Source organism: Homo sapiens, chromosome 13, assembly GCF_000001405.40.
Source record: "Homo sapiens chromosome 13, GRCh38.p14 Primary Assembly".
NCBI classification, from domain to species: Eukaryota; Metazoa; Chordata; class Mammalia; order Primates; family Hominidae; genus Homo; species Homo sapiens.
Window position 1 is genome coordinate 40678806 of NC_000013.11, and position 22119 is coordinate 40700924.

The 22119-nt window shown below is 45.0% G+C and overlaps 3 annotated features.

Annotated features, from left to right (window-relative positions):
• Nucleotides 1104-1868: an enhancer, noted in NCBI's record as "OCT4-NANOG-H3K27ac hESC enhancer chr13:41254046-41254810 (GRCh37/hg19 assembly coordinates)". NCBI's record gives its function as "activates a minimal SCP1, AML or CMV promoter by ChIP-STARR-seq in naive and primed H9 embryonic stem cells {active_cell/tissue: H9 hESC(naive and primed)}" and the evidence as "EXISTENCE:reporter gene assay evidence [ECO:0000049][PMID:30033119]".
• Nucleotides 1869-2633: an enhancer, noted in NCBI's record as "OCT4-NANOG-H3K27ac-H3K4me1 hESC enhancer chr13:41254811-41255575 (GRCh37/hg19 assembly coordinates)". NCBI's record gives its function as "activates a minimal SCP1, AML or CMV promoter by ChIP-STARR-seq in naive and primed H9 embryonic stem cells {active_cell/tissue: H9 hESC(naive and primed)}" and the evidence as "EXISTENCE:reporter gene assay evidence [ECO:0000049][PMID:30033119]".
• Nucleotides 2634-3398: an enhancer, noted in NCBI's record as "NANOG-H3K27ac-H3K4me1 hESC enhancer chr13:41255576-41256340 (GRCh37/hg19 assembly coordinates)". NCBI's record gives its function as "activates a minimal SCP1, AML or CMV promoter by ChIP-STARR-seq in naive H9 embryonic stem cells {active_cell/tissue: H9 hESC(naive)}" and the evidence as "EXISTENCE:reporter gene assay evidence [ECO:0000049][PMID:30033119]".

Sequence of the window (22119 nt, forward strand, 5' to 3'; positions counted from 1 at the left end):
CCTGGGTTCAAGTGATTCTCTCGCCTCAGCCTCCCGAGTAGCTGGGACTACAGGTGCACGCCACCACACGCAGCTAATTTTTGTGTTTTTAGTAGAGACAGGGTTTCACCATGTTGACCAGGCTGGTCTCGAGCTCCTGATCTCGTGATCTGCCCGCTTTGGACTCCCAAAGTGTTGGGATTACAGGTGTGAGCCACCGCGCCTGGCCACTGGGCTAATTTTTTAATGTTTTTATAGATATGAGGTCTCACTGTACTGCCCAGGCTGGTCTAAAACTCCTAGCCTCAAGTGATCCTCCTACCTCGGCCTTCCAAAATACTGAGATCACAGGCATGAGCCACTGTGCCTGGATGAAAAATTATTTTTAAATGGGTCGCGATGGAGATTTTATTAAAATGGTCATAATGGATAAAGTACTTTCTTTTGTTTCCTGGAGCTATTCAAGGGCCTTTCTTGGGCTGGATCAGAGTAGACACTTAACTTACCTCCCTCCACGAGCCCTGTGCCACATTCCCTCTTCTCTTAGCTGGCTGAGAAAAAGAACAAGAGAAAAAAGCTAGGGAAATTTTTTAAATAATTATTTCTTACTCAACTGAAAACCCGAAGCGTGCTGCGGTTCTCAAACATACACATGATCATGAGCTCTGATACCCACCAGTGACCAGGCTGCTCCCAGGCACTCAAATTCTTCCTTTCAATGATACTCGTCATTCTTTGACTGATGTTAGCACATCTAAATTCTTTTTTTTCCCTCAAGGAACCTGATTATTCTGGTCTGAATTGTGTTCTTCCTCCCCAAGTTCATATGCTAAATGTCTAACTCCCACTACGGCAGAATATGACTATATTTGGAGACAGGCCCTTTAGAAAGGTGACTAAGTTAAAATGAGACCGTTAGGCTAGGCCTTACCAGTCAAACCTCTGTCCTCATAAGAAAGGGTGATTTGGATGCACAGACGCCAAGGATGCCTGCACAGGGGAAAGACCATGTGAGAACAGGGAGAAGGCAGCCGTCAGCAAACCAAGGAGCAAGGCCTCAGGAGAAAGCAAACCTGCTGGCACTTTGATCTTGGACTCCAGACTGTGAGAAAATAAATTTCTGTTGTTTAAGCCACACAGTCTGTAGTATTTTGTTAGGGCAGCCCTCGCAAATTACAATGACTGTATGATCAATTATGTTTTTCCAAACATAGGTTAGGTTTTTAACATTCAAATGAGGAATGAAAGGACCCTAATTCAGGGAGGCAGTTAAGCAAATAAAGCACTAATTTTAGAGGCAGTCTCAACCAAACCCACTCTTCTAATGCGTAGTTGTTTAACAAAGCGGCACAGTCAGCACCATACAGGAAAACTGACTTACTATGTGCCAGGTATTGTTCTAAGCTTATTTATTTATTTATTTATTTATTTATTCATTTATTTATTTATTTATTAATGAGATGGAGTCTTGCTCTGTCGCCCAGTCTGGAGTGCAGTGGCGCGATCTCGACTCTCGACTCACTGCAACCTCCACCTCCCGGGTTCAAGCAATTCTCCTGCCTCAGCCTCCCGAGTAGCTGGGATTACAGGCACATGCCACCACGCCCAGCTAACTTTTGTATTTTTAGTAGAGACAGGGTTTCACCATGTTGGCCGGGCTGGTCTCAAACTCCTGACCTCAAGTGATCTGCCAGCCTTGGCCTCCCAAAGTGCTGAGATTATAGGCGTGAGCTACCGCACCCAGCCTCTAAGCACTTTTCTATATAAACTCATTTAATCTTCACAAGACCCTACTGGGCAGGTGTGATTGGAAATTGAGGCACAGGGAGGTTGGTTACTTGCACAGCTGGGATACAAACCCAGGCAGGCTAGAGCCACGGCTTTGCTTCTAACCAGTAATCCATGCTGCTTCCTTAGTTAATAGCTCTAATGCTTATTACCCCTCCCTCACCAACCACTCAGCAGGACAAAGTGGTAAATTCAAATTCAGGCTCTACTCCTTATTCCTCCAGGCAGTTTCATTATCTGAGTACTTGGCATAATAATATCTTCCTGCTGTGGGGGTCGCCTGAGATAATGATACAGGTGCTTGCCTGTGGAATCAGCCCCAGGCACTGCAGGCCTGTTTGCAGTCCCCTCTGTATCTCGGGTCTCAAGTTCCCTCTGATGATATTCAAAGAAACTCCACCAGGGCCTTAGGTTCCATCAGGGGCTTCTTCCAGATCATCTTGTATCGGTAACGCACAATGATTCAGCCACACCCATCCACAAAGGCTCATTACCTCTTGCTTTCAGTAAACCAGGCTGAACACAGGTAAGAATAGGAGAAAAAAGAGGTCCCAACTCATGCTTCCCTGACCCCTGTATCTCTTCCCTAGGCTTCTGGAGAGCCTGCCCGAGGCAGCTGGCAGCCCTTAGAACATTAGAAGGAGAAAGTTTTTGGATGCAAAGTATTCGTGAGGAGGGCTCATTGAAAAGAAAAGGCAGCCTATTGAAATTCAAGTTAAGCTTAGACCAGATCCTATGGCTAACTCCCATAGGATATCCTCCCGCTATCTCATGTGGGGATAGCCATAGGATCTGGTCTATGCTTGCAGAGCCATACAACCCTCCTCCCCACACCCAGTTGCCCGTAAGTACAATTTGAGCTCCCCACCCACCATGGTCTGCTGTACATCTTGATACCAGACCTGCCTTTCCTGGAGCTGGCCTCAGATGGATTCAGCTGGATCCAGTCCAACCAGATTGTAAGCTCTGGCCCTCCAGATAACCTCTGTGGCTTCCTCCAGGCCTCCCACAGTTGGGGCCTCTTGGAATCACAGTTGATAATGTTAGTTGCCAGCAATCACCCCGATCTCTAAAACTTCATCTCCGTGCTTTCCGTTCCTTTGCCAACCACCTGTTCAGGCTGATGATGACATTTAATGAATCTCCTTCCTTCCTAGTCTTGATAACAGCACAGGTCCCTCACCATACGAAGAGAAACAGCCTTTCAAGAACCTGCTTTGGAAATTGGCACTCTCGACATACAACTGCATTCCTTTCAGCTCACATTACTGCAGCTGCTCCAGTGCCAGCATCTAAACCATCTCATCTTGTGTCCAGTGCAGTGAAATCACCTTGTGGGGAGAGCAGTCAATGTGTTGGTAGGGACCAAGGGCCGAGCCTACCCCACTGGGAACTGGCTGGGCTGGGCCCTGTGTTTGATAGAAATCCTAACATATTCAGAGCCATAGGAATTTTCTTTTTTCTTATGCTGATAGTTTACTTCCATACTACTAAAATTTGCAAAACAAAATGCCACAGGCTAGGCTAAATACAGTGCACATTCTATCTCTCTCTCTTTTTTTTTTTTTTTTACATTTTTTTGAGACAGAGTTTCACTTTTGTCGCCCAGGCTGGAGTGTAATGGCATGATCTGGGCTCACTGCAACCTCCATCTCCCGAGTTCAAGCAATTCTCCTGCCTCAGTCTCCCAAGTAGCTGGGATTACAGGCACCCGCCCCCAACCATGCCTGGCTAATTTTTTTTTTGTATTTTTAGTAGAGATGTGGTTTCACCATGTTGGCCAGGCTGGTCTCAAACCCCTGACCTCAGGTGATCCACCTGCCTCGGCCTCCCAAAGTGCTGGGATTACAGGCGTGAGCCACCGCGCCGGCCATAGTGCACATTCTCACATGCGCTGCATGGCCACAGGGAAAGGCATAAGCTTTCTTGTCCCCCTCCATCTGATATAAATAAATAATCCAAGAAACAGAGCATTTACTTTTTCAGGACCAGATTTATTCATGGTATTGGCTGCTCTTCTGGTAAATGAGCTCGGCTTCCAGGAATCAAGCCTGCCCACGTAAACATGGCACCCCGACCCCTGAGAATGTTAGCTGGCCACTCCTCACCATATACTCCTGCCATACCACAAGTGGATGGCTAAATGGTTCACGCCCAAACTGTCATCTATCTAGAAGCTATTACAATCTAGATTTTTAAAGTTACGTATTCTAGATCCACAAAAGGTACAACAGACTAAGTGCACTTAAGTTTTGCAATTTGTTTCAGCTTGAAGGATTTCCATACGTAATTGCCCACAGTTGTTATGCAGTGTCAGAGAGCTAGCACAAAAGGCGGTCTCCCTGAGACATAAACCAATCTAAACAGAGCTGTCACTATAGTTTTTACACAGATGATGATTCTCCCTTCTGCAAATTTAGGTCATGGTAATCTGTCTGTTACTTTTGATCTTCCCATTGAACTATGTTTCTCCATCTTGCTAGTGTCTTCGATCGTTTTCTTTTGTGAAGGGGCAAAAGAAAAGTTATCCAAAAATTCTTTTTCCACTCTGGTAAAAGTAGTTTTAAGATAATACTAAAAAGTAATGTTTTATCGCCCTCTACTGGTATATGACATTAATAGCCATTTGCAAAAAAGTTAACTTTTAGAGAAAAGGTAATAAAATTCAGAAAAGTCAAAAAAAAAAAGAGCCTTTTATGTGCCTTTAACATTTGTCTTATTTTTATTTTTATTTTTTTGAGATGGAGTCTCGCTCTGTAGCCCAGGCTGGAGTGCAGTGGCATGACCTTGGCTCACCGCAACCTCTACCTCCCAGGTTCAAGCAATTCTGCCTCAGCCTCCCAAGTACCTGGGATCACAGGCACGTGCCACCACACCCAGCTAATTTTTGTATTTTTAGTAGAGATGGGGTTTCACCATGTTGGCCGGGCTGGTCTTGAACTTCTGACCTCGTAATCCACCTGCCTTGGCCTCCCAAAGTGGTGGGATTACAGAGGTGAGCCACTTCGCCCAGCCAAAATTTTTTTCTTTTTCTTTCTTTTTTTTTTTTTTGAGATGCAGTCTCGCTCTGTCGCCCAGGCTGGAGTGCAGTGGCGTGATCTCGTCTCACTGCAACCTCCACCTCCCAGGTTCAAGCAATTGTCTTGCCTCAGCCTCCTGAGTAGCTGGGATTACAGGCGCACACTGCTACGCCTGACTAATTTTTTGTACTTTAGTAGAGATGGGGTTTCACCGTGTTGCCCAGGCTGGTCTCGAACTCCTGAGCTCAGGCAGTCCTCCCGCCTCGGCCTCCCAAAGTGCTGGGATTACAGGCGTGAGCCACCGTGCCCTGCAGTTTCATTTTTATAATATCTTAAGGTAACATAAATACTTTACCTTTTTTTTTTTTTTTTTTTTGAGACGGGGTCTCTCTCTTGCCCAGGCTGGAGAACAGTGGCGTGATCTTGGCTCACTGCAACCTTTACCTCCCGTGATCAAGCAATTCTCCTGTCTCAGCCTCCCAAGTAGCTGGGACTATAGGCGCCTGCCATCACACCCAGCTAATTTTAATTTTTGTATTTTTAGTAGAGACGGGGTTTCACCATATTGGTCAGGCTGGTCTCGAACTCTTGGCCTTAGGTGATCCACCCACTTTGGCCTTCCAAAGTCCTGGGATTACAGGCATGAGCCACTGCACCCAGCCATTTGCTTTGTTTTTTAAAATTTTTATTTATTTTAATATTTTTAGTAGAGATGGGGTTTCACCATGTTGGCCAGGCTGGTCTCGAACTCCCGGTCTCAAGTGATCTGCCTGCCTCTGCCTCCCAAGGTGCCAGGATTACAGGAGTGAGCCACTGTGCCTGGCCACTATTTTCATTATTGTTCATTATACAGGCATCTTTTAACATTAGGTATCTGACTTGTCTGCATCTTTTGTTCTAATATTGAGCTTTGCTGGGGGAAAAAAAGTTTATCAGTTGCATAATTTGGGGAAACTTTCTAAAGATACTTATTAAGAGAGAATTTCTCTTAGATATTCTCACTCTCTCTGAAGCATCTTTCTTTTAATTAATTAATTAATTAATTAATTTTTTTTTTTTTTTTTTTTTTTTTGAGACGGAGTCTCGCTCTGTCGCCCAGGCTGGAGTGCAGTGGCAAAATCAGGCTAACTGCTACCTTGACCTCCCGGTCTCAAGTGACCCTCCCACCTCCGCCTCCCAAGTAGCTGGGACTACAGGTGTGTTGCACCATGCCGGGCTAATTTTTTTAAAACTTCCTGGGCTGGTTGAAGCTTGCTTGCTTGCTTGCTTGCTTGCTTGCTTGCTTGCTTGCTTCTTTCCCTCCCTTCCTTCCTTTCTTTCTGTCTTTTCTTTTCTTTTCTTTGACAGAATCCCGCCCTGTTGCCCAGAATGGAGTGCAATGGTGTGATCTCGGCTCACTGCAACCTCTGCCTCCCAAGTTCAAATGATTCTCCTGCCTCAGCCTCCCGAGTAGCTGGGATTACAGGCTCCTGCCACCATGCCCAGCTAATTTTTGTATTTTTAGTAGAGACCGGGTTTCACCATGTTGGCCAGGCTGGTCTCGAACTCCTGACCTCATGATCCACCTGCCTCGGCCTCCCAAAGTGCTGGGATTATAAGCTTGAGCCACCATGCCTGGCCTAAAGCTATCTTTTTTTTTTTTTTCCTCCTGGGTTCAAGCAATTCTTCTGCCTCAGGCACGCGAGTAGCTGGGACTACAGGCACGCGCCACCACGACTGGCTAATTTTTTTTTTTTTTTTTTTTTTTGAGACGGAGTCTCACTCTGTTGCCCAGGCTGGAGTGCAGTGTCGCGATCTCGGCTCACTGCAAACCCTGCCATTTGCAATGGTTCAAGCCATTCTCCTGCCTCAGCCTCCCGAGTAGCTGGGACTACAAGCGCCTGCCACCACACCCAGCTAATTTTTTGTGTGTGTGTGTTTTTTTTTTTTTAGTGGAGACGGGGTTTCACCATGTAGCCAGGATGGTCTCGATCTCCTGATCTCGTGATCCGCCCGCCTTGGCCTCCCAAAATGCTGGGATTACAGACGTGAGCCACCGCGCCCAGACCTAATTTTTGTATTTTTAGTAGAGACAGGGTTTCACCATGTTGGCCAGGATGGTCTCGATCTCTTGACCTCATGATCCACCTGCCTCAGTCTCCCAAAGTGCTGGGCTTACAGATGTGAGCCACCGCACCTGGCGCATTTTTCTTATTAGTCTAAAACTAGAATCTTTGTTTCACTTGAGATAAAGGAAAGAAGTAGGCACTGGGAATGGATCAATCTTTAAAGAAATATTATGCTTTGAATTTCCATGAACAATTAGAATAACAATAGAAGGTGACTGATGAATAGCTATTATGATAAAACCCAAGTTTTCTATAAGGATAACAGACAAACATATCATGCCACATGAGATCAGTGGATGGAAGGGAACTAAGGCAAGCAGGGCCAGTGGTAAGGAGGAGTGTAAGAACTGGGACTAGAATGATTATGGATTAAATGGAAACAAAAATTGTCCCAAATAAAGCAACCACTGCTTTAAGCAGCAGTATAATTTTCAACATCAATTTGCACATAGTAACACTTTTTAAATTGTATTTAATTTTTAAATATTTATTTATTTATTTGAGACCAGGTTCTGAGACTGGCTAATTTTTGTATTTTTGGTAGAGATGGGGTTTCACCATGTTAGCCAGGCTGGTCTCAAACTCCTGACCTCAGGTGATCCACCTGCCTCGACTTCCCAAAGTGCTGGGATTACAGGCATGAGCCACCATGCCAGCCTCATCCTTTTTTTTAATCCTAATTTTGCTTTTAAAATTAATTGGAGGAGAAGCATTTGAAGTACACTTGTCATATAACTTTGATTTCTACCATTTATTTCCACCTCTTGCTTTTAAAATCTGTTAAGTGAGAAGTGAACATTTTATCAAGGCATATAGTTAAAATGTCCAAAACCATGGAATGTCTCAGTGTGTTCTGCCAAAATCTTAATTCTAGGTGTTTTAGCTTCAATTTTAAAAACTGCCATTATTAGCCATACTGTAGGAAAAAAAAAAAAAAGGATGCCTCAACTGACAGTTCTTCTAGAGCCAAACCTACCCATTATAATTTCACAGGAACTAGACAACTTGAAAACTGAGCTCATCTCCATGGTTTATTTCTCCTAAGGTCAGAAGGACAGTGAAAATTTGACTAACTTCAAATCTCAGCTTGTGTTCTAGGGAAAGGGAAGGCACAGGAAGAAGAATACTTCTTTTCTTTTTCTTTGAGATGGGGTTTCACTCTTGTTGCCCAGGCTGGAGTGCAATGACATGATCTCGGCTCACTGCAACCTCCGCCTCCCAGGTTCAAGCGATTCTACTGCCTCAGACTCCCCAGTAGGCTAGGATTCCTGGCACATACCATCACGCCCAGCTAATTTTTGTATTTTTAGTAGAGATGGGGTTTCACCATGTTGGCCAGGCTAGTCTCGAGTTCCTGACCTCAGGTGATCTGCTCACCTTGGCCTCCCAAAGTTCTGGGATTACAGGCGTGAGCCACCACGCCCAGCCAGAAGAATACTTTTTATGACCAAGCCTATTAAAATGCAAATCATTCCTACTGCATCCCATAGTTTTACTAAAATACCTGTCTCAAAAAAAGAATAACGAGAGCCTGACACCTATAAGCAACCGCATTAGGGCCTTTGCCGTCTTGTTGAACGGAAGGTAGGGTCTCCTTGTGCTAAAAGCACAACTCCTACAGGTGGGAAAAGTTGGAAACCCTGATTTAAAAAGCAGTTGCCCTGGGTTTGTTTCTGTTTTTGTTTTCTGAGTTCCACCACTAACTTACTTAGAGAAAACCTATGATTACACAGTTATTCCAGAAGAAATTCACTGATGCTTTCTTATCCCATGTTAAAAACTATGGTAGATACTCGAATGAGAGCTACCATTTAGTCCATGCTTACCGTGTGCCAGGCACCATTCTAAGTATTTCATTCATATTATCCAACATATCAGAAGTTCTACGTCGCTATCAAATAAGGCAACCAAGGCACAGAGGTGTTAAATAATTTATGCACAGTAACACAGCAAGTCAGCCATGGGACCAGACCTGCCATCTTGCTGATCTAACAGTAGGGCCCTGTGGCTGATGCTGTGCCCGCGGGTACAAAAGGAACACCATGGGCTGGGTGCAATGGCTCATACCTGTAATCTCAGCACTTTGGGAGGCTGAAGTGGGTGGATCGTTTGAGCCCAGGAGTTTGAGACGAGCCTGGGCAACATGGTGAGACCCCATCTCAATTAAAAACAGCAACAACAAAAGGAACACCAGGGCCAGTCCTTCCTGGAGAGCCTAGGAGGGAAGCCCAGAACAGCCAGCTTAGTCTTGGAGGACAGGAGGACAGGATGGTAACAAGTTTCCCAGTTAGAGAAGGAAGGTGGTACTCTAGCACGTGGAAAGGTACAGAGCTGTGAAGTTTGCCATTTAATCAATGCAGGGCCACCAAAGCCTTTTTTTTTCTTTTTTTTTTTTTTTTTTGAGACGGAGTCTCGCTCTGTCGCCCAGGCTGGAGTGCAGTGGCGGGATCTCGGCTCACTGCAAGCTCCGCCTCCCGGGTTCACGCCATTCTCCTGCCTCAGCCTCCCAAGTAGCTGGGACTACAGGCGCCCGCCACTACGCCCGGCTAACTTTTTGTATTTTTAGTAGAGACGGGGTTTCACCATTTTAGCCGGGATGGTCTCGATCTCCTGACCTCGTGATCCGCCCGCCTCGGCCTCCCAAAGTGCTGGGATTACAGGCGTGAGCCACCGCGCCCGGCCTCTTTTTTCTTTTTTTGAAATATGGTTTCCCTCTGTTGCCCAGGCTGGAGTGCAGTGGCATAATCATAGCTCATTGTAACCTTGATGTCCTGCGCTCAAACCATCCTCCTGCATCAGCCTCTCTAAGCGCTGGGATTAGAGGCATGAGCCACTATGCCTGGCCCTGAAAGACTTTGTAAATAAAAGGTTATCATTATCGACACTGTATTTTCACAGATCACTCTGGAGAAACTGATTTCTGTTGGGTTCTTTCATCCCCACTATTCTTGGGGAAGATACGAAGGTGATGCTTCGGAAGGAGATGCAAAGTGCTCCACATTATCTTCCTGTAGAACCACGCTCCAGTAAGTTATGTTTCCATTAGGGAGCCCACTTACCCCAATTCTGGATTTTGCTGGCTGTAGGCTAATAGATGTAGGATGATTTTACAGACTTGAGTGTGTTGAGCAGGTATGTGCAGGTGTGAGGACAGAGAAGGATCTGGGCTTTGATCCCTTCTGTATCTCTACCTGTGCTGAGGGCAAGATGAGGAAAACGGCCTGGGCAGCCCCGGGCTGAGCTATCAGTGGCCCTCAAGTGGAGAATTAAAGAAAACAGAATGGAAATGAGGAAGATTTTTTCAGAACAAGGAAGCAGACGGAGGTTTTCACCTACTTAGTCTATCATGTTATGATAGATTAATAAAGCCTTATTGTTTTGTTCTGTTTTCATCAAACATTTACTGGCTGTCAGCTCTGCCAGCCAGCATGCTAGCCACTGAAAATGAATAAGATGCATTTTAAGACTTTGGGACCTCTGCTTTAAAAATAAAAGGAAGCAAGCTCTTGGTTCTATTCTTCAGGCCACTGATTTGGTGGAGTCAAAAAGCATCACCCCAAGTATCGTTGATTGGAAACTATAACCATAGGTGATGGGTGAAAAACCCAGAAAAAGAAAAAACAAAGGATGATGAGAAAGAGGTACCGTGACATAATTTATTTATTTATTCATTTCTCTCTTTTTTTTTTTTTTTTTTTTTTGAGACAGAGTCTCGCTCTGTCGCCCAGGCTGGAGTGCAATGGCACAATCTCGGCTCACCGCAACCTCTGCCTCCCAGGCTTAAGTGAGTCTCCTGCCTCAGCCTCCTGAGTAGCTGGGACTATAGGCATGAGCCACCATGCCCAGCTAATTTTTGCATTTTTAGTAGAGGCAAGGATTTGCTATATTGGCCAGGCTGGTCTTGAACTCCTGACCTCAAGTGATCCACCTGCCTCGGCCTCCCAAAGTGCTGGGATTACAGGCATGAGCCACCACGCCTGGCCCCATGACATAATTTCTGTCTTAAAAAATATATCTTGAACCTGTCTGTCAGGTGGATACAGGACTTTAGACACCAACTTCCCCTTCTACATGAAGCCAACCTGCCCACAGCCCCTGCTCTGGGAAGCTGCCCTGGACTGAGCTGGACATGGTTGACCATAATCAGAGAAGAGGGACCAGAGGATCTGATCCAGGGCAGGACCTTGAGGTGGCCTGAAAGGATGGTTCTGGTCAATAGGGACTATGGTCATTACAAAGCCAGCCAGCCTGGCTCCTTCCATGTTGAAGTTTACAAGGATGAGACAACATTGGGCCAGGCATGGTGGCACATGCCTTTGGTCCCAGATACTTGGGAGGCTGAGATGGGAGGATCACTTAAACCCAGGAGGTCCAGGCTGCAGTGAGCTGTGATTGCACCACGCTCTCCAGCCTCTCCAGTCTCCAAGCAACAGGAGTGAGACTGTTTCAAAAAAAGAAAGAAAGAAAGACAACACTGTCCATTGGGTAAAGGGAGGAGGCCAGGCTACTATAGTGGGAGCATGAAGACCACGAGATCCAGACAGAAGAACTGGCCCTAGACCAGCCTTAGATCCAGGTCCAGTCCATGTGAACTTGCCACAAACCCTTTTTCTCTTAAAAAGGTTTGAGTGAGTGAGTCTTTGTTTTTGATATAACTAGCACCTAGCAACCATTCCAGAAACAGTGTGGAGGATGGGTTTGCAGAAGGCAGATTTTTGGCAACTCTGCATTTGATAAAAATACTTTATTGAACTCTTTCCAAATTATTACCGATTGCATTAGACACTGTCACATCTCCTGTAAGCTCTAAAATTTCAGGCACTTTCTCTTCACTTTGCACTCTGAGTGGCTAAGGTGATTTTTTTTTTTTTTTTTTTAGTCTCGCTCTGTCACCCAGGCTGGAGTGCAGTGGCACAATCTCAGCTCACTGCAACGTCCGTCTCCAAGGTTCAAGCAATTCTCCTGCCTCAGCCTCCCAAGTAGCTGAGATTACAGGCACGCACCACCACATCTGGCTAGTTTTTGTATTTTTGTAGAGATGGGATTTCGCCATGTTGGCTAGGCTGGTCTCGAACTCCTGACCTCAGGTGATCCACCGCCTCAGCCTTTCAAAGTGCTGGGATTACAGGCGTGAGCCACCATGCCCGGCCTCATGTTCTTTAAGCTTTGCATGTAGTGGGTCTTCTATAAATGTTTATTGAATTAGAAAGACTGCCAAAAGGCTCCTGGGACTGATAAATGACTTCAGCAATGTTTCAGGACACAAAATCAATGTACAAAAATCAGTAACATTTTTCTACACCAATAATGTTCAAGCTGAAAGCCAAATCAAGCATGTAATTTCATTTACAATAGCCACAAAAAATAAATAAGTAAAATACTTAGGAATACATCTAACCAAGGAGGTGAAAGACTTCTACAAGGAAAACTACAAAACACTGCTGAAAGAAATCACAGATGACACAAACAAATGGAAAAACATCCCATGTTCATGGATTGGAAGAATCAATATCGTTAAGATGGCCATATTGCCCAAAGCAATTTACAGATTCAATGCTATTCTTATCAAACTACCAATGCCATTTTTCACAGAATTAGAAAAAAAAAAACTATCCTAAAATTTATATAAAACCGAAAAAGAGCCCAAATAGCCAAAGTAATTCTAAGTAAAAAGAACAAAGTTATAGGCATCACATTACCTGACTTTAAACTATACTATATGGCTACAGTAGCCAAAACAGCATGGTACTGGTACAAAAACAGACATATAGACCAAAGGAACAAAGTGAAGAACCGAGAAATAAAGCTGCACACCTACATCTGATCTTTGATAAAGTTGACAAAATTAAGCAATGGGGAAAGGACTCCCTATTCAATAAATGGTGCTGGATGTAATAGCTGGCTAGCCATATGCAGAAGAATGAAACTGAACCCCTATATTTCACCACATAAAAAAATTAACTGAAGATGGATTAAAGATCTAAATGTAAGACCTCAAACTATAAGAATCCCAGACCAGGCTGGGTGCAGTAAGTCACGCCTGTAATCCCAGTACTTTGGGAGACTAAAGCAGGAGGATAACTTGAGCCCAGGAGGTTGAGACCAGCCTGGGCAACATAAGACCTTGTCTCTACAAAAAAAACAATTTTTTTTAATTAGCCAGATGTGGTGGCATGCACCTATAGTCTCAGCTATTTGTGAGGCTGAGATGGGAGGATCACTTGAGCCCAGGAGGTCAAGGCTGCAGTGAGCCCAAATCACACCACTGCACTCCAGCGTAGGTGACAGAGAAAGACCCTGTCTGAAAAAAAGAAGGGAAGGAAAGGGGAGGGGAGGGGAGAGGAAGGAAGGCTAGGAAACACTATTCTGTACATCACCCTTCGGAAACAATTTATGACTAAGTTCTCAACAGCAATTGCAGCCTGGGTGCAGTGGCTCATGCCTATAATCCCAGCACTTTGGGATGCCAAGGTGGGAGGATTGCTTAAGCTGAGAAGTATAAGCTGGGGCAACATAGGGATACTCCATCTCTATAAAAACATTTTTAAAATTAGCTGGGTATAGTGGCACATGCCTGTGGTCCCGCTACTCAAGAGGCTGAGGTGGGAGGATCACTTGAGCCCAGGAGGTCAAGGCTGCAGTGAGCCATGATCATGCTAGTAGTTTGAGACCAACCTGACCAACATGGAGAAATCCCGTCTCTACTAAAAATACAAAATTAGCCAGACGTGATGGTGCATGCCTGTAATCCCAACTACTCAGGAAGCTGAGACAGGAGAATCGCTTGAACCTGGGAGGCGGAGGTTGCAGTGAGCCGAGATCGCGCCATTGCACTCCAGCCTGGGAAACAAGAGAGAAATTCCGTCTCAAAAAAAAAAAACCTATCAAGAGCATGCGGACAACCTATAGAATGGGAGAAAATATTTGCAAAGTATGCATCAGACAAACAACCCCATTAAAAAGTGGACAAAAGTCCAGACACAGTGGATCATGCCTATAATCCCAGCACGTTGGGAGGCCGAGGCGGGTGAATCACAAGGTCAGGAGTTCGAGACCAGCCTGGCCAACATGGTGAAACCCCATCTCTACTAAAAATACAAACATTAGTGGGACGTGGTGGCGCATGCCTGTAATCCCAGCTACTTAAGTGGCTGAGACAGGAGAATTGTTTGAACCTGAGAGGCAGAGGTTGCAGTGAGCTGAGATTGTGCCACTGCACTTCAGCCTGGGCAACAAAACAAGACTCCGTGTCAAAAAAAAAAAAAGTGGACAAAAGATATGAACAGTCACTTCTCAAAAGAAGACATACAAGTGGCCAAAAAAAAATATGAAAAAATGCCTATCATATTAATCATCAGAAAAATGCAAATCAAAACCACAATGAGATACCATCTCACACCAGTCTGAATGGCTATCAATTACAAGTCAAAAAATAACAGATGCTGGCGAGGCTGCAGAGAACTAATTTACATTCCCACTAACATTTATACACTGTTGGTGGGAATGTAAATTAGTTCAACCACTGTAGAAAACAGTCTGCAGATTTCTCAAAGAACTTAGAACTACTGTTCAACTCAGCAATCCCACTACTGGGTATATATTAAAAAAAAAAATAGGCTGGGCACAGTGGCTCATGCCTGTAATCCCAGCACTTTGGGAGGCCAAGGCAGGCAGATCACCTGAGTTTGGGAGTTCGAGACCAGCCTGACCAACATGGAGAAACCCTGTCTCTACTAAAAATACAAAATTAGCCGGGCATGGTGGCGCATGCCTGTAATCTCAGCTACTCAAGAGACTGAGGCAGGAGAATCGCTTGAATCTGGGAGGCAGAGGTTGCGGTGAGCTGAGATCACACCATTGCACTCCAGTCTGGGCAACAAGAGTGAAAACTTCATCTCAAAATAAATAAATAGATAAAATAAATTGTTCTACCAAAAAAACACATTCATTCATATGTTCATCGCAGTGCGATTCACAATAGCAAAGTCATAGAATCAACCTAGGTTCCCATCAACAATGGAGCAGATAAAGAAAACGTGGTACGTATACACCACAGAATACTACACAGCCATTAAAAGGAATGAAATGGCTGAGTGCAGTGTCTCATACTTGTAATCTCACCACTTTGGGAGGCTGAGGAGGGTGGATCATCTGAGGTCAGGAGTTCAAGACCAGCCTGACCAGTATGGAGAAACCCTGTCGCTACTGAAAATACAAAAATTAGCCGGGCATGGTGGAGCATGCCTGTAATCCCAGCTACTCAGGAGGCTGAGGCAGGAGAATCGCCTGAACCCAGGAGGCGGAGGTTGCAGTGAGACAAGATTGCACCATTGCACTCCAGCCTGGGCAACGAGAGTGAAACTCTGTCAAAAAAAAAAAAAGGAATGAAAGCATGTCATTTGCAGCAACGTGGATGCAGCTAGAGACCAGTATCCTAAGCAAATTAATGCAGAAACAGAAAACCAAATACTGCATGTTCTCACTTATAAATGGGAGCTAAATGTTGGGTGCTTATGGACATAAAGATGGCAACAATAGACACTGGAGACTACTGGGGTGGGGCAAGGGTTGAAAAATGAACTATATTAGGCGCTATATTCAGTACCTGGGTAACGAGATAAATCATACCTTAAACCTCAGCATCATGCAATATAGCCAGGTAACAAACCTGCACATGTACCCTCTTAACCTAAAATAAGTTGAGATTATTTTATAAAAATGAGTAAGTATGGTGTATTTAAAGACAAAACTCTACTTCGTTCCTCATATATAAGCTTTTTGATCAACAGGAAATTCAGATTTCAGAAACATAGTGGAACTCTTGCTTGGAGAATTGAGATGATAAAATGTAAATGAAGCACTCAGCTTTCTGTCTGAATGTTAACTGTAGTTGCTTTTCTTCACTGAGCACCTGCCATGTGCAGGCTCAATGTTCTGCTCACTCCTTTTCTCCTCACAGCAAACTGCCATGAGGATTTGCACACCCTTTTTACAGATAAGGGAACTGAAGATTTTTTTTTTTTTTCTGAGACAGAGTCTCGCTCTGTTGCCCAGGCTGAAGTGCATAGACACAATCTCGGCTCACCATAATCTCCACCTCATGGGTTCAGGCGATTCTCCTGCCTCAGTCTCCCCTGTAGCTGGGACTACAGGCACGTGCTACCATGTCTGGCTAATTTTTGTATTTTTAGTAGAGACGGGGGTCTCGCCATTTTGGCCAGGCTGGTCTCGAACTCCTGACCTCAAGTGATCTGCCCGCCTTGGCCTCCCAAAGTGCTAGGATTACCGGCGTGAGCCACCATGCCCAGCCTGAAGCTGAACAATATTGAGTGACATACAAAGTCTCTTGGGTAGAAGGTGTGGAAGTTAGGGCTGTGAATTGAATATGTCTGGTAATTTTTCTGTCACACTCAACTTTTAATTTAACTGTCCCATCACAGCTTCCAAAGGGGCAGCCTAGCATGCCAATTACCCTTTACTCCACACATGCTCCCACAATAGCTAATTAGGTTGAGAGAGGGCACCTCACCCAAGGGGACCAATCCGCAGGGTGAGCAGTGACCCAGGATGTGGATTAGGAGAGAGGTTCTGCCCCAATGGAGACAAGATTGGCCAATTACATTTTGACTTTTTCAAGAATTTAAACTACGAGACAACAACATAATTATGAGCTGATGGTGGCCCTTCGAGCTGAGAGGTTGTGATGTAGACTTGAGAAGCCACAGTAAATGCAAGACAGAAGCAGCGATAAAAACAATTAGAGGCCGGGTACAGTGGCTCATGCCTGTAATCCCAGCACTTTGGGAGGCTGAGGCAGGAGGATCACCTGAGCCCAGGAGTTCAAGACCAGCCTGGGCTACATAGTGAGACCTCATCTCTACTAAAAATTAAAAAAATTAGTTCGGCGTGGTGGCATACACCTGTATTCCCAGCTACTTGGGAGGCTGAACCTGGAGTTTGAGGTTGCAGCAAGCTATGATCATGCCACTGCGCTCTAGCCTAGTGACAGAATAAGAGCCTGAGACCCTATCTAAAAAAAAAAAAAAAAAAAGCAATTGGAATTTCTCCAATATGATCTCTCATTCTCTCTCTCTCTCACACACACAGACACACACACACACACACACAAATCCATCCTTACTCTCTCTCTCTATCTGAGATGGGTGGATGGATGGATATTGTGAGAGTAATGTGAGAGGTGAGTAGAACAGACCAGAAACACAGCTTGTTGGACAAAAAGTCGACAACTGCATTCATGACACTATGCTGCCTTGAAACAAAGTACATCCACTTATATGGCAGGATCTTTATAATATTGGAGGACTTTCAAACTTGTGTTGTGCACAAATAATTTTCGTGTTTTTTTTTTTTTTTTTTTTTTTGAGACAGAGTCTTGCTCTGTCGCCCAGGCTGGAGTGCAGTGGCACGATCTCGGCTCACTGCAAGCTCCGCCTCCTGGGTTCACGCCATTCTCCTGCCTCAGCCTCCTGAGTAGCCGGGACTACAGGCGCCCACCACCACACCCGGCTAATTTTTTGTATTTTTTTAGTAGAGACCGGGTTTCACCATGTTAGCCAGGATGGTCTCGAGCTCCTGACCTCGTGATCCGCCCGCCTCGGCCTCCCAAAGTGCTGGGATTACAGGCGTGAGCCACCGTGCCTGACCTAATTAATTTTCTTTTCTTTTTTTTTTTTTTGAGACGGACTCTTGCTCTGTGGCCCAGGCTGGAGTGCAGTGGCGCCATCTCGGCTCACTGCAAGCTCCGCCTCCCAGGTTCACGCCATTCTCCTGCCTCAGCCTCCCGAGTAGCTGGGACTACAGGCGCCCCCCACCACGCCCAGCTAATTCTTTTTGTATTTTTAGTAGAGACCGGGTTTCACCGTGGTCTCGATCTCCTGACCTCGTGATCCGCCCGCCTCGGCCTCCCAAAGTGCTGGGATTACAGGCGTGAGCCACCTCGCCTGGCCTAATTAATTTTCAAATCATACCCATTTGAGGCTATAGAGCCAACATTCCCCCCTCTCCCCTTTTACACTGTGAGATGTTGTATTGTAGATGATACATTTTACAAGGCAAAGGCTTTGTTACTAGGAGGAGGAGATTAGGAACCCTGACACAAATCATCCTGAGAGCCAAAGGGGTTGTTAATGAAAGGATCACACTCACCTCTAAGTTCAAAGAGCAGGTAGACGAGGTTAACCTCACACTCTACATTTGCCCTTCAAATTCCTGAGAAACTTCCCAGGAACCTTTTCTCTAATTCTCAGATGTGTATAATAAGGCACTTATTGGCCGGGCGCGGTGGCTCACGCCTGTAATCCCAGCACTTTGGGAGGCCGAGGCGGGCGGATCACGAGGTCAGGAGATCGAGACCATCCTGGCTAACACGGTGAAACCCCGTCTCTACTAAAAATACAAAAAATTAGCTGGGCGTGGTAGCGGGCGCCTGTAGTCCCAGCTACTCGGGAGGCTGAGGCAGGAGAATGGCGTGAACCCGGGAGGCGGAGCTTGCAGTGAGCCGAGATCGCGCCACTGCACTCCAGCCTGGGCGACAGAGCGAGACTCCGTCTCAAAAAAAAAAAAAAAAAATAAGGCACTTATTATATGCTTACTTTACTGAACAGTAAAGCTCAAGACAAGCCTTTTGGATGTCTCTTCTATACTTCACCTGTGACTTCACTCTAAAAATATGGCATTTATGCCTTTTTATTTTTTATTTTTTGAGACAAGGTCTTGCTCTGTTGCCCAGGCTGGAGTGCAGTGGCTCAAACATGGCTCACTGCAGCCTCAACCTCCTGGGCTCAAGTGATCCTCCTGCCTCAGCTTCCCAAATAGCTGGAAGTACAGGCACATACCACCGTGACTGGCTAATTTGTTGTTGTTGTTTGTTGTTGTTGTTGTTGTTGTTGTTGAGATGGGGTCTCCCTGTGTTGCTCAAGCTGGTCTCAAGCTCATAAACTCAAGCAGTCCTCCTGCCTCAGCCTCACGAAGTGCTAGGATTACAGGCATGAGCCACTGCACCCAGCCAAAAGGAATTTTTATAAAAGGGCATAGCCAACACCATGGCTCAAGCCTGTAATTCCAACACTTTGGGAGGCTGAGGCCAGTGGATCACTTGAGGTCAGGAGTACAAGACCAGCTTGGCTAACGTGGTGAAACCCCATCTCTACTAAAAATACAAAACTTAGCCAGGCGTGGTAGCGCACACCTGTGGTCCCAGCTACTCAGGAGGTTGTGAACCCAGAAGGCGGAGATGCAGTGAGCCAAGATCGCACCACTGCACTCAAGCCTGGGTGACAAAGCAAGATTCTGTTAGAAAAAAAAATCATTTTATTGTTATTTTACTGAGGCTTCAGGAAGGAAAGTAGATGGCATGTGTTCAATCTGTTATCTTCTGTCTGGTGTAGATTGCAATAATGACATATGTCAAAACATTTTATTATGGAAAATTTCAAATATAAACAAAATACAGAGAATGTTCATGAAACTCTCCCCCCAACACACACACATTACCCACCACCCAGCTTTAGCAATTACCAACTCATGGGCAATCTTGTTTCATCCATATTCCTTCCCATTTGCCCCTCCTCCTGGATTATTTTGAAACAAATCCCAAACATCATGTCATTTCATTTGTAAAACAATAATAGATTTGGAGTGCTTATGTAGCTCCCTCTAGGAAATGAATTTCTAATTAGGGTACTTCAGATACTAAGTAATCTTCCCTAGAATGTGGGTTTCTAATTAGGGCACTCCAAATGTGAATAGCATCTAGAGTATAGATTAAAGTTAATCTACACACACATACATTACACTGGTAATTCTAAAGTACTTTAAAGGAAATCGCCATACAGACAATCTACCACTGTGAAACTCAAAGGTAGAGGAGAATTAGTGGGTCTTGTCTGAGTAGCAGAAGCTTGAGAGACACGGCGCTCGGGGTTGATGATTTTGTTTTGCTCTTGCGAGAATGGGGGAAGGGAGCTATCAGGAAAAAGAGGTAATTTGTGAAGAAAGATGAAGACCTTGAGATAATGTTGGACACAACAAGAAACAGACCATTATGAATACATGACTGGGGCTCAGAGAGAGGTCAGGCTGAGTGTTCGCATGTAAGAGTCATTCTTATGGAAATAAGAATTGAAGCAGGAGCAGAAGTGGTTTCTCCAACTGAGAGTGGGAAAAGAACAGAATAACCAGAGTTTATTTACGTTGGGGAGAGGAAAAGGTGCCGTTTATCTGACAGAAAGGGAGTTGGGGCCGGGCGCGGTGGCTCACGCCTGTAATCCCAGCACTTTGGGAGGCCGAGGCGGGCGGATCACGAGGTCAGGAGATCGAGACCACGGTGAAACCCGGTCTCTACTAAAAATACAAAAAGAATTAGCTGGGCGCGGTGGCGGGCGCCTGTAGTCCCAGCTACTAGGGAGGCTGAGGCAGGAGAATGGCGTGAACCCGGGAGGCGGAGCTTGCAGTGAGCCGAGATCGCGCCACTGCACTCCAGCCTGGGCGACAGAGCGAGACTCCGTCTCAAAAAAAAAAAAAAAAAAAGGGGGGAGTTGGGCCATGACACCTACAATTTACATTACCTCCTATATCAGGCCGGGCACCGTGGCTCATGCCTGTAATCCCAGCACTTTGGGAGGCCGAGGTGGGTGGATCACCTGAGGTCGGGAGTTCGAGACCAGCCTGATCAACATGGAGAAACCCCATCTCTACTAAAAATACGAAATTAGCCGGGCATGGTGGCGCAAGCCTCTAATCCCAGCTACTCTGGAGGCTGAGGCAGGAGAATCACTTGAACCCAGGAGGCTGAGGTTGCAGTGAACCGAGATCGCCCCACTGCACTCAAGCCTGGGCAACAAGAGCAAAACTCCGCCTCAAAAACAACAACACAACAAAAACATTACCTCCTTCATCACAGAGAGTGTGGTAGAAAGGGTTGTATGTTACACTCTTGGGCAGGGTTCTTAGCCCCTTGCACATGGACTCCCTCGGTAGTTGGGAGAAACCTGTGGACTCCCTCTCAGAACAGTGTTCTTAAATGCATAAAATAAAATACATAGGATTACAAAGGATGCCAATTATGTTGAAATACAGTTATCAAAATAGTTTAACATGTGATACAATAATAAATATTATTCTTTGATTGACACATTAAATAACAAGATCTAGTGGCAGGTGTAATAATTACTATAATTTTGAAGTAGTAATGAGCATAAATTATATTTTGAGATACGTGCAACAACTCTAATGTGAGATGAAAATAACTGTGACTTCTATGGGTGACAAAGTCATAGGTACTGCTAATACTACTGTGTTTTGTTGTGTGACTTCATAATGGAAGGAAGTGCTAATTTTCAGTTAGAGGTGAATGGAAATAAGAAAGCATTTTTTTTTCCTATTCAAGTTCACCAACCACCTCCCAACCCCCCAAACATCATGGGACCTTCAACCCCAGGTTAAGATTTCTGTTCCAGGGTTAGTCGGTCAAATTACTTCATTCATTTAACAACTATGTTTTGAATGTCAACCTGGGCTAGACATGGAGAAACGAGAATAAATAAGCTGCAAGGAGCTCATGGTGAAGTTAGGGAGACCAGCACATAAATAGATGCTCCTTCTTAAGGAGCATCTTAAGCTCCTCTTCCTTCTTAAGCTCCTCTTCCTCTCCCTCTTTCCTAATATCCAAGTCTTGAACACACCATCTTCTTGCCTCAGGGCCATCCTATGTGCCATAGCTTGCCTTGGATGTCCTCTCCTCACCCCAACACACATACACAATTCACAGAGCTTGTTCCTACTCATCTTTTAGTTAGTTCACAACTTAAACATCACTTCTTCTAGGAAGACTTCCACAACTCTCCCCCAACTGCGTGATACAGTGGTTCAAAGCACTTAACTAGTCCTTCTTGATGGACACTTCAATTATCTCCAGTTTTTAATCATTACCAGCAATGCAGTCACACATAGACACACACACACACACACACACCCACACCATTGTATACTTGTACTTCTATTTCTGATGGAAACTTTTTAGAAGTGGAATTGTTAAGACAAAATAAATGCACATTTTGCATGTCCATCAATACTACCAATTGCTCTCAAATAGGTGCTATAGAGGATCTGCTTTCTCACACTCTTAATTTTTTTTTTTTTTTTTTTGTGAGACAGAGTCTCGCTGTGTCACCCAGGCTGCAGTGCAGTGGCTGTGATCTTGGCTC